General features: G+C 44.7%; 1 long non-coding RNA gene across 4 annotated transcripts in view; it reads right to left on the bottom strand.

Annotated features, from left to right (window-relative positions):
• Nucleotides 1-10,181: 10,181 nt before the first annotated feature.
• Nucleotides 10,182-12,802, bottom strand: part of LOC105369995 (uncharacterized) — a 36,373-nt gene continuing 33,752 nt past the window's right edge. For all 4 annotated transcript variants that reach the window (NR_188422.1, NR_188424.1, NR_188423.1 and 1 more), the window contains one exon: nucleotides 10,182-10,331. This is a non-coding gene — a long non-coding RNA (uncharacterized LOC105369995). The remainder of the gene's footprint in view (nucleotides 10,332-12,802) is intronic.

Below are 12,802 nucleotides of genomic sequence, written 5' to 3'. Positions count from 1 at the left end.
TGATACTTCTCCCAGTTCCTAGAGAATAATGATCTCAGTCACTAATGCCTCTGCAGTTAGTCTGCCAGGTAAAAGCAAGAAATGTAGCTGACATGTTAAGGATAAACACTTAGCCGGGTGTGGTGGCGTGCACCTGTAGTCCCAGCTACTCGGGAGGCTAAAGAAGGAAGATCACTTGAGCCTGGGCTTGAGGCCGTCCTAAGCTATGATCATGCCATTGCACTCCAGCCTGGACAACAGCAAGACCCTGTCTGAAACTTGGAGTAACACAGGGACTCCATCTAGAACGCAGACAATGCTTTCCTATGTATCTGTGGCACTGAGTACTGAGATTAACATAGGATGAGTCACCAGTCATCACCTTTGCAAAACAATGAGTTAGTTGCAGGCTCTTCAGTTGTAGCTGTGAACTTGGCTGTAACCTCAGTGCCCTTCTGACTATCTCTCTTCCTTCCCTAGATCCTCAATACAGGAGGCTTACCATTAAATCTGACTCTTAATATTGAACACTTACTGGCTTTAGGTTAAGGGTGAGGAAAGTGCATGTGGAAACAGGAAAGCTCAGTCTCCCTTGACACTGACCTGATCAGGTACCTGATACCTCTCAGGTGAGCCCCTCTTCCAGCTGTGACCCCTGGGAGACACTTGTAGTATCACATACTATCTTGATCCAAATATTTCTGGAATCAAAAGACAAATAACAGCTGAGGATGCTCATGTAGGGTTTCTAATTTGTTTTCCTTCTTGAAGGTAATGTCTGAGTGGCCCTCAGAATGAAGTCCCTTCCACCTGGGGTCAGGTAGGCAGCCATTAGATTAGACTTCTTAGCCATCATAAGCTTTTCCAGAGGCATTGCTGAATTGCTCACCACTAGGGCTCTCCCTGAATGACCATCTCTGGATAATGGGGTGTTGCTTTAAAATATGAGTACTTAAATGCAATTACAACCAAATCTTTCCAGCATGGGTGGTAGTCACAAGTCTGAGCACCTCCATAAAGATCTCCATGTAGCTCATCAGAACCAGTTAGCAAAGGGTATTTTGCAATTAATTCAACCTTGCATCAAGTATACCATCTTATTTCTGTATCTACCATGGCTCTTCTTCATTTGCAACTTCTCAGAAATAATGAAAGGAACTCTTCTGTTCACAGCAGTCAAGATTCAAATACTAAACCTATATTCCAACTGCAGATCCCTGAAGACCTTTGGAGAGGTGGGAATCTGTAGAAGAGACAAGTAATTGAATGCTGGAATGTCCACCCCTCCCAATCATGCAGGACGAAGATCTCAAAGAATGGATGCTACATCAGACACTGCCTCTCCTCCTTGGTGGGGGGAGTACATTAGCTCAGGTACTAAAGTCCTTGTTAGCTTGTCAAGGCAAGGCAAACATAGGTGACACATCAGATGACTTTGACCTCAACGTGAGGCTGAGGATCTTTCAGTGAAATGAGAAGCACTTACAGGTTTTATTGCTTGCTTCTCTAACAATCACATAAAGAAGCCTCAAAGGCCAAACCGTGATAGAAGGCCTTGTCTCATTGCAGCCTCAGTTCAAAGGGAGAACCTTTCTCATTAAAGGCAAGGTCCACCTGGGCTTGTTTGAGCCCAGAGCAGGCTGTGAGGTGAGGCCTTTGCCCAAGGTGCCAACCCTGGCACTGCCAGAGTCTGATCTTGGCTCATCGTGATTATGTGCTCTGAGAATCAGATGATGGGGCCTTGAAATGCCACAGCTGCCCCACAGAGCCCCATGTATTCAAAATGCTTGGTCAATAAAAGGTCTGTCTTTTATTGTATTATCCATATGAAGGTGGTATAAACAAGGCACAGTGACTTCAATCGGGTGGGGTCTTCACCTCTAACTTGCAAGCACTTATGCCACCTACTAGAAAAGTAGGATCTTAGAAGGTCCATACCAGTTATTCCCACCTTGTGTCTCTTCCTGACCAGCTAATTATAAATACAGAATAACCTGTAAGACACAACCTGGAAGACACCCAGGATCCTTCTAAGAGGTGGATAGAACCCTTCTTGGCAGGAATCCCATGGAGGTCACGGGTAGCTCCTGGCATCCTGCCTAGAGGTGCATGCCAGGGTGTCCCACAGCTGAGGATGCTAAAATAGCCATATCATGAAGCTGAACAATGTCCCTTTGTCATGGTTGCTTCCCCTGCTTTATGGCTACTACATAAGTGAGATCCTTGATTCTTTTTCCTATTTTGCTAGATTCTGATATTGATGGGGCTTACAACCTAGAAATTTAATTCCAGAATCCAGTTCATACTTACAAAAGGCTGTCTAAAGATTTCCTTCCTGTACTCTTGATAAGCATCGTGGGCTCGGTGGCTCAGGTTCTGATGGCTAAAGAAGAATCTATGACTTGGCACTGGAGAGAATTCCTGGCCAAAGAACAGCAGCTATTAAATGTGTTCAAGATCAGAGCTAGATAAAGGCATCTAGTGAAATGCTACTCTCATAGCTCATATGGATGAGCTGGGTGTTTGGCCAGCTTCGATTTCCAAAACTGAGCCAGCCTTAATCGGGCTTCGGCATTGTCTGATCTTCTGTCTAGGCTCTCCCTTTGCCCTGTGGCATCAGGTATGGTGGCAACCACATCACAGTTGTACTAAGTGTCCATCCTGAGACTGGTTACGGAGAAACTGACTCTAAAAACCTAGTCAAACTCCTGTTGACCCTACAGGCCTAGATCTGAAAGGGCCATGGCTTTCTCTCCCCAGTCTGTACCTGGGCTTTGATTCTATGATCTGGCGTTCATATGCAGGAAAACTTGCTTTGCACTAGCAAGAACAAGTCTCGGTGACCTCAGCACTATTCCTCAGTAACATCAGGGAATTTCTCCATAGGAATAAGCTTCCCTCACATATGAAGCCATATAGGGTGAGGCTTCATATGGGTGTCCCTTTTCTGACTCAGCCTCAACCAATCGGTGACATCAGACACTATGTCATTCCTCAACTGCTATTCTTCAAAACCTTTATCTGGGTGAACTATGATGTATGAGCCAGAAATAATACCATCTTCTGTCTCTAGGGATCATATTACAGACAAGTACCTGTTTGCTATAGACAGCCTGGCATGTGTCCAGGTCCACTGGTTTCTTGGGTCACTTGGGCTCTTTTCTTGAACACCAGAACAACCTGCTCCTTAAGGAGAGAATTGGGATAGTGTGAAGACACCTGGGTTTCCACGTGGCTGGTACAGATGTGAACTCACAAGTCTTGACTACCCCCTTCAGTCCTCCTTGTTCATCCTTGGTGTCAGCTCCTGAAGCTGTATGTATTAGGTTGGTACAAAAGTAATTGCGAGTTTTGTGTCATTACTTTCAATGGCAAAACCCACAATTGCTTTTGTACCAACTTAATACCTAAACAACCAAGAGACTCAGTCCAGACATGTAATGGGATAGGAAGAGGTCCATGGGACACAGATCATCTTTCCACATTGAATTCCCAATACAGGAAGCCTGGGAACCTCTGTCTAAGTGTAGAGTTTCCTCTTCACATTGAAAGAGACTATGCCTTCTGTGTCTCTATAGTCAGACCTCCAAGGACACAAGCAGTCCTGTGGCTTTACCCACGTTTGGAGGTGGAACTGCTGAACTAATAGGTAATGACACAGCAGACACAGGTCTTCCATTCCCTGCAGGCCAGTGAATTCTCATCTGCTACCTTGGCCACTGAGACAGCCAAGAGTTCTCTAAAGAACGGGAACTGGGAGACAAAGTTGAGGGACTTGGAAAAAGAACTTGCCTCAGGGGAACAGAACTGCCTGTACTATGACCTAGGTTTTGACTTAACTGTAAAACTATTTTACATCCCAGGCTTCTCTCTTCCTTGATTCTTCCTGGCTCCTGGAGGAAGCCTTGGAAGCCTGATGGGAGGCTAAGAAGGAACTTCTAGGCCAATCAAAACTGGATCGTGAGTGGGAGTTTATGGCTCATGACAGTCGGCCTAAAGTGTAGGGAATGAAGCATCTTACATTCCTCTCCCTGCTTGTCAACTCCTGACCATCTTGTCAAAAACACAGCTGTGTGCTCAGTAAAGAGGCCAATGAGGAACTGCACTTGGCATCTGAGTGCAAGCAGAGGTAGTGTCTGCCTGAGACCCCAGCAGGGGAAACTCAGCCTCAGGCCCTGGAGTCCAAAAAAATGCTGCAGACTCATCCGACTGGTTCAGGAGGATCTCTTTGCAGCTCCCTCAGAGAAAATCTGAACTCCTTCCATAGGTAAGAGTTAGCAACTAGGGGAGTGAATGTAGAAATCTGTCACAGGAGTGCAGGGCTCCAGTGTACACTTCCTAGGGTGTCCTTGTGGGTGCTGTTGCTTCTTGGTTCTTCACCTGGACTCTGGAGTCTCACTGGGTGGTAAGTAGCCTTCAAGGAAACTTTCCAGTTTTATCAGGCAAGCAGCTTCTTTGTGTCAGCACTGTCCTGGATTAGATTCCCTACCCCTGTTGGATGGGTGAATACCTCTTCACAGCCACTGTTGCTTGTGTCAATGGACCTGGTGCTGAATGTCAGTGAAGCACTCATCCTAGGTTTGACACTGCTGCTCCCAATGTAAATGCAGACTTTTTGTAATGAGTGGGAACCTCTAGCTGGCCCTTTGGGTACTGATTAGCAAAACCTTCAGAATAATGGAATATATTCATGTAGAAAATATTCTACGTGAAATTCTTTTTACATCCAAGATTTTCCTTCCCTTGAACCAAGTGACATGATGGACTAGTCAGCACCATAAGACAGTAAGACATCCCTGGGGACTTGATAAAACTGCGTGGGCTACAGGGCACACTGGTCTTTTGAGTGGCTTGGAAGGGGTCTCTAGTTAGCTCTTAACCTGTTACAGAAAAAGCCAGAACAATAGCTTTAGCCTTCAAGCATGACCCATGTTCTACAACTGACTCAGGCAAGTCTTACATGCATCCACCCACTCCCATTCCGGCGGCATTTTTGCAAACTCCTGACCTCAAATTTCTTAGGAACACATCATATGCATGTGTGATGTTTCGAGTTACTGAAAGACAGCACATTGATGAAAATAACTGAGAACCCCATTATCACTAAACCTATGGGTCCTCAAACTTCCAATTCTCAAGCATCAGAACTCTTGACTACACAAATGAGGATCCAAGTGTCATAACATTTGTGGCTAGTCAGTATCACAAGTGTCCTTTAAATCATAGGGGTTTTCGTTTATCCCAGTCCTATTCCTTCTATGAAGGGTGGTTAACAGCGTGCAGATATGCACAGCTCAGAGGCTTCCTGCTCCTCTGTTGACATGTCCTTCTAAAAGTTCTGTCTCCCAGCCATGAATAATGGAGGATGAATACTGCCTCATACTATTTCCTCCAACCTCCTGAGAAGTATGTGATCTTAATTACCACTTAATGCTTCTGTGGCTATTCTACCAAGGCAAAGTGAGAGAAGTAGCTGACATGTAAAATATGAACTAAAGATTGGAAGCCTTGCAATGAAACAAAGTTCTCAATAGGCTTTTCTAGTCTGTCCTTAGCTTTTCTAAGAATTCTAGAAGGTAAAGCCAGGTGAGAGCAAAAAGTCTGCTGTCCTGATGTGGGTTCAGCTCAGAGGAGGGCCTCACTCTTCAAGGGCCATCTAGGCTGGCTTCTGAGCCCAGAGCAGGCAGGCAGAGGAGGCCTATGGCAGTGCTAGGGTTTGTGTATTGGCCAGAGGCGTCTGGTTTCTGTCACTTTGTGGTCTGAGTCAGTGGATAATGGAGCCTTGGGACACATATCCCAATTGCCCCATGGGCCCCCTGTTTGACTTTATTGGTCAGTAAAGTGTCTCTGTTCCCATTGTTCTGTACACATAAGATGTTGTAAATGGGGGACACTGATTTCAGGTAGAGTCTTGATCTTCATGACCCCTAAGCATTTCTGCCACCTACCAGGAAGGTAGGATCTTAGAGGTGGTCTGTACTAGCTCTCCCAACCATGTCTTTACATTTTTATGACCAGTTAACCCAGAATGGTGGATAACCTTCAGGACTCTGACCCTGGACTCCTCAGTGGTTCCTTGAGTGCAGGCCCTGGTAGAATGCTTTTTGGCAAGAAGTCAGTGAAGATGAGGAGCTCTCGGGTGTCCTCTCTGGAGGTGCATATGGGGGTGTCGGCACTGCTGGGGATGCTGCCTGGTGATCACCTTTCCTCTATCATGGTTCTTCTCCCTGTTTTGTGTCTACTGAGGGGGATAAATGTATGAGATCCTTGGTTTCCTATCTACTTCACTGACGTATGGAATCTAAAATCATCCACCTACAAACCCCATCCATAGATGTTAGAAAAACTTAATCTCCACTTACAAAGAAAATTTTTAGGTTTCTTCTATTCCTGGAAAGCACTATAGACTTGTAAATCGTTTTCAGTGTGTTGTGATTTTTGACTTCTAAATTAGCCTATATTTGGCAGATGTTCCCTTAACTGGAACTTGGTGACCTTGATCTGAAACCCTATACATTTCATTGCTTTAGGGTGAAACATCCATGCTTATCTAGCATTTTTCCTTCCCTGGAGGATAAATTAGCCCCTTGCCTAAAAGACATTTTATTACACTTAATGGAGCATTCAAAGAATACATAAATGCTAGCTGAGTTCACTGTTCCAGACAGTAAGTTTGCCCTTTTATTGTAATATTTTATATTTTTACTAAAACTTTGTTTCCCTAAGAAGTAAATATTCTTATCCAAGAGTGAAAGTTCTGAGCAACACTTGTCATGTTCCTGCAGAACCAATGGTTCTGTCACTTCCCAGGAAGCTTGAGGACTGAAGCCCAAGAGGGAAGACTCTTACTGTCCTGACCTCAGATTGTGGTATTGGCAGTTGTTATACTTAAGGGCAGATGCTGAATGTGTTCATGACAAAATGAGGGCATCTAGTGAAACAATCATTCCTACCATTTCCATGGATGAGCCTGGGAATTGCCCAGCCAGGGTTTCCTAAACTGTATCAGCCTTAGGTAAGGCTCTAGCACCAATGCTTGACCCCTTAGTTCAGGTTCTAGTGTTAACCTGTAACCTCAGGTGAGGTGACCGTACCAGAGCATCCATCCTGAGTGTGGTCTCTTGGACGGACATTCACATTCCAGCCAAAATCTCTAGTAATGGACTCTGTAGGTATAGATCTGAAAGGGACATGGCCTTCTCAGACTGAGATGATTCTAAAACCTGGTACTGATATCTTCCCAGCTGGAATCTGCTCCTGTAGGCATGTCAGTGACCTTAACTCTAACTCTAGGTAAAACTTATGGAATTTCTCCCTGAAAGTGTTACAGTTCTCAAGTACAAGCCCATATGTAGGGGGGAAATCTTGAGGGTTCCTTACCTGAGTTGAGCTCATGATTTCTTCAACTGTTCATAATATTCCACCACTTATGTCTCTTCCTCACCTTCTCATCTTAACCTCATTTGGGTGAGCTCACAGCAACTTCAGAGCTGGAAACAAGATGCTTAACATGCCCCTGGCAACTGATCCAGGTATAGACCTGTGCTTGTGTATTGCTCAAGTGAGTATGACATCTTCTATGTCTGGTATCTGGGGCTGCCATCTCCTGAATGTTGGGAGAACCTGCTTGTGGAGACCACGGGATGGAATAGAGGATACCCGAGGCTTTGATTCTCCAGCTGCTCACATGTGTGCTTGCTGGGCTTGACTGGCCCTACACTATCCTTGATGCACATCCTTGGGGACTCAGATTCTGGTGTAGTTCAAGCTCTGTGTGCACCCAAGGAATCAGTTGTTCCAGAAAAGGAATGGAACAGGAGGTCTAAGACCACTGGAACTATCCTTCCACATGGAATCCCTGTTTGGGAAGAGAACCTAGGAACATGGATGCCCACAGGTTGAGGGTTCCTATCCCACTGACCGAACTCTGCCTACCTTTCTTGAGTCATCTTGTGACCTCTCCAAGGTATAAGCCATCTCATAGCCTTTCCTAGACTTGGAGTGAAAGCTCCTGACTGACGTCTGAGGTACATGCAGGTTCCGACTTATTGCCAGACAGATCAAGCTAAGCTACCACTCTTGGACACTGACATGTTATTTCCTTTCTCATGTAACTGGGAAGGAGGCTCTGGGAGACACAATACTGGGGCTTAGAAGGACTTGGACAACAAGGGTTCATCTTGGGTAGAAGGAAGTATACACCTATTATGTTCTAGGCTTTGACTCAGAACAGCTGTTAAAGCTACTTTTACACACTTCTCCAGGTTCTTGCTCATTATTGGTCCTCTTAGCTCTGTCAGAAGCCTGGGAAAGGCCAAAAAAAGCTTGCTTAGGAGGAACCATGCTGCTCCAGGTTGGAGGAAGTCATGACTTATGGTTCTTGGTATACTACTAGAAGGGTAAGCAGTGAACACTTACTGCATTTACACAAATTCCCGCATCTAGTTTCTCCCTGCAGACTAAAATCCTGAACATGTCTTCAGAGAAATGCAGATCTATCAATGCCGAACCTGGCAAAGAAACTGCCCTTGGCATCTGGGGACAAGAAGGCTGAGGCTCATGGCAGGGAGTAGCATCTGAGACTCCAACATGGTAAACTGAACCTCAGGACCCCAACGGTGTGGAGGGAAAGATGCAGCCACAGGCTCATTTAACTTGTCCCCCGCCCCTTACAGTTTTGTGAGAATCTCAACATGTTTCTCAGATGAAGTACTTTGACAACTGGGGGTATGATGGAAATCTGTTTTGGCAGGATACGTTTTCCTTTATAGGTTAACAGCAGATTTAATCAGCAGAAATCTCACAAGCCAGAAGGAATTGGGGCCCCATCTTTAACCTCCTGAAACAAAATAATTGTCAGCCAAGAATTTTGTATCCAGCAAAACTAAGCTTCATAAAAGAATGAGTCGTCTTCAGACAAATGCTGAGAGAATTCACCACTATCAAGCCAGCACTACCAAAAGAAAAAAAAATCCTACCCTATACCTAGGAAAGGCCACAAAGCTGCTTCTGATCTTGGAGATGCCACAAGAAGATTCCAGAGAAAAGCGAGGCAGAGTTCTGCCAATAGAGTAGTATCACTCAACCTTGGAACTAAGGGGATCCCTAGAGGACTAGACACTCCCAGGCTCTTACCAAATGAGAATGATGCTTGTGGCAAGTATAGGTTTTTTGTTCCCTCTAAGGCCAGAGAAGTCTCAGCCATTACCTTGGCTATCAGGCAGGTAAGGGTTTTCTGTTCCTGAAGATGGGGAGCTGGGAGACAATATTTAAGTTGACAGGGACTTGTAGCAAGAGTTTACTTAGCTGGAACAAGCATGTATTATCTAGGTTTTGACTTAATCTGGTAAAGCTGCTATTATATGCTTTTTCTGGCTTATCCCTTTCTTGGTCTTCCTGGCTCCATGGTGGGAGGCTGGGAGCCTCAGAGAAGAAACCAGTAAGCTTTCTCAGGTAAGACAGAAGCTATACAGGTTAGAGGGGGTCATGATTTCTCAGTCTAGTTATTAGAAGTGTAAGTGATAGAACTTTACATCCTCAAATCCCTGCTTACTAAATCCTGACTGTAGTTTGAGCAAATTGCAGCTATGCTCCAAATGAAGAGGCTAGGGAGGAACTATGCTTGGCATCTTTGCATAGGGAGGCTGAGGCTTAGAAGGGCAGAGGGAAGTAAGCATCTCCCTGAGATCCCAACCGGGGAAACTGAACCCTAGATCCCACGGTACAGAGAAGAGCAGTTGCAGGGTCACCTGACCAGTCGCCTGGGGTTCCTCTTCCAGTTCCTCAGAAATTCTGAACTCTCTTCTTGGGTAAAGATCTGACAACTGGGAGCATAAACATGGAAATCTGTCTTGGAATGCAGAGCTCTTGGAATGGGTGCCATTGTTCCTTGGTGAGTTCTCCCTGACCTTAACTCTCACATCTACCTGCAGGTACAGACTTGGTAGGAGCCTCCTGCCATGTGGGACAGGCCTATTTCTGGTGTCTGCACTGGTGCTGAGTTGTAAGTTCCCCCCTGGTTAGGGGAACACTGTCATTGTCACTGGGTTACATCAATTAGAAAATGACCCAATGGTGAATGTTACTGAAGTCACCATTCTTGGTTTATGTCAACTACCCTATGCATATACAGACCCCCTCATGATTAGCAGGGACCTTGTGTTGATATAATGGAAACTTTCTATTAAAAAACACATAAGACATTTAGAATTCTGATCAATATAATCTTTTCATATAGAAAGGAAACTTAGTTGTGACAACAAATAATTATGGCTGGACCACATGGCATGTGCCTCTAGAGATGTACTAGTCCGTTTTCACATTGCTGATACACATACCCGAGACTGAGTAATCTGCAAAGAAAAAGAGATTTAATTGACTCACAGTTCCACATGGCTGGGGAGGCCTCACAATCATGGTGGGAGGCAAGGAGGAATAAAGGCATGTCTTACACGAAAGCAGGCAAGAGGAGAATGAGAGCCAAATGAAGCAGGGGAAACCCCTTATAAAACCAGCAGATCTTATGAGAACTCACTGTCATGAGAACGGTATAGGGGAAACTGACCCCATGATTCAAATATCTCTACCTGGTTCCACTCGACACGTGGGGTTATTACAATTCAAGGTGAGGTTTGTGTGGGGACACAGACAAACCATATCAAATGCCTTTACAAAAGTACCCAACGCTATCTGGAAGTATGAAGACAGACCCAGGCAAGTGTTCCACATTGTACTGTATAAGCCCCCTGACCTAAGTATCCTCGCAAAGTCTCAATCTTTCATTGGTTTATTCAAGGAAATTCCCCATCATGCATTACTCTGAAGTAAACAATTTGTATGCATGCTCATGAACAGAGTCATGCTGAGTTCTACTTTCCCAAGGCAATGAAAATCTTGATAGTGAACCTTATCCCATGAAACTGTCAAAAATTGCTTAAATCCACTTGGTCTCTGAAATGGCCCTAAGGTCATACAGTAAGAATTAATCTAAAACTTAAGAACTTGGTTCAAATACCACAAACTCAAGATCTACACCTGCTTTTCAGCTCAGCTCAGTGTGAGAAAATACACTCCAACATGAGACAGCCAAGAGCAAGGGACTCCCCTGCACCCACCCAGCTCCCATTTGGAGGGCTACTTTTCATGGAGGGGCAGAACATAAGGATTTCTTGTCCTGCCTCTAGCCTACCTGTTGCTGAGGCTAATCCCATGTGTGCTTGGCTGGAAGGTAGGGCTCTTGTCTTCTATCCAGCTCCCATTTATGGGATAGAGGCTCTATCTTGGGCTAGGTGTTAAGAATACTAGGGCTCACAATGCAGGGGTTTCACACAGAGGCAAGCTGAGGAAACCTGGAGTTGCTCTTCACCTTTCATCAAGGTCTCCTAAAAAGGGGTGTCTAGGCTTCCCATTGTTATCCCTAGCACTAGTCACAGCTTGCATTTTTCCTTAGTGTGGAGAGAAATAGAACAGAGCTCCAAATCCCTCCTCAAAAGAACTGACTTCATATGCAGTGGTGTGGAGAAGTTCAGGCCAAAGGGCACTCGCAAGCACTACAGAGGCTATGGGAAAAGGGGCATTAAACACTAATAGCTTCATTGAAGATAGAGGCTAACCTGGAGGGCTATCTCTGAGAAAACCAGAAGACAGCTGATAGAAGCCCTCTTGGGGTGGGAACTTGTTTCAAACACTGCATGTAGATAACTAGAAGACAGATCAATCATGCTTTGAAGCAAGGTGGGTTTAGGTACTTGATCAAGTTTTGAATAAACCCAACCAGTTGCATCTCCAAGGAGATGTCTACTACCAACTGACCATCTTGATTCACATTAAGTCAAGAACTCAGAAGAGGTAGAAAAACTGAGGTTGCTGCTATAGGATTTCTGGTCTTGTCCCCTTGCTTACACCTATGCTTATCAAGCCTTTGGAGTAAAGGTTTTGGCTCAACCCCTAGAAGCCAATAGGTAGAGGCCATAAGTTCTTGTTACTGTTGTAAGCTTTCCAGAGGCATTGTTAATCTGTTTACCATTCCAGCTTTCCTGAATGTCTCTTGCCCATCTCTTACAAGGGTTACAAAGGGAAGACTTTGGAAAAACATTTGTCTTCATAGTCTTCACCAAATCTATTTCTATTGGCTCTCAAATAAGCTGACATAAACTTCTTAAATGCCTGTGCTTCATGATGGGGAAGCAGACTGGTTGGCCATGGAAGCTTTGGGATTAGAGAAACTTGACACTAAGGAAGAACAACTTTGTTTTCTGATGGTCTTGGTGCCTCCTGGAAAAGGAGATCAAGGACTCTTTATCCGGTTTACATTTCTTAGCCCTATTATCCTGATGTACCAGCTTATGGATTCTTGGAGATCAGTAAGTGGATTACTCTGGAATGAAAGAAGCAGGGAAATGCTGGAATGTCCCCTTCTCTGAAGATGAAGAAACTTCTCTTGTGGGACCTCTAAGAACAGCTAGCATGAGCCCCGATTCTTCTAGTCCTTCCAAATTTATGGTAGTGCAGTTGCTATCTAATGCTTTTGTGATTACCAGGCCAAAGAATAATGTGAACTAGAGCTGACTTCACATGAAATGGACTAGCTTCATGATCTGAGTTTAGGAGCATTACAGCAAAACTAGAAGCACTCAATAGGCTTCTTTAGTTATCTCTCCAGAAATAAATGAAGTAGCAGCTTGGAAGGTAAGATGTTAATAGAAAGCAGCTTTCTTAATGGACCACTATTTCAACTGGGTACCCTTCACGTTTATTAAACTAAGTGTACCTGGACTTGTTTCTGAGCCCAGAAGAAAGTCTGAAGCTTGTGGCCAGTGCCAGA

Source organism: Homo sapiens, chromosome 12 (genome assembly GCF_000001405.40).
Source record: "Homo sapiens chromosome 12, GRCh38.p14 Primary Assembly".
Lineage (NCBI taxonomy): Eukaryota > Metazoa > Chordata > Mammalia > Primates > Hominidae > Homo > Homo sapiens.
The sequence above is the reverse complement of the archived record's forward strand: the minus strand, read 5'-3'. Positions and strand labels throughout refer to the sequence as shown.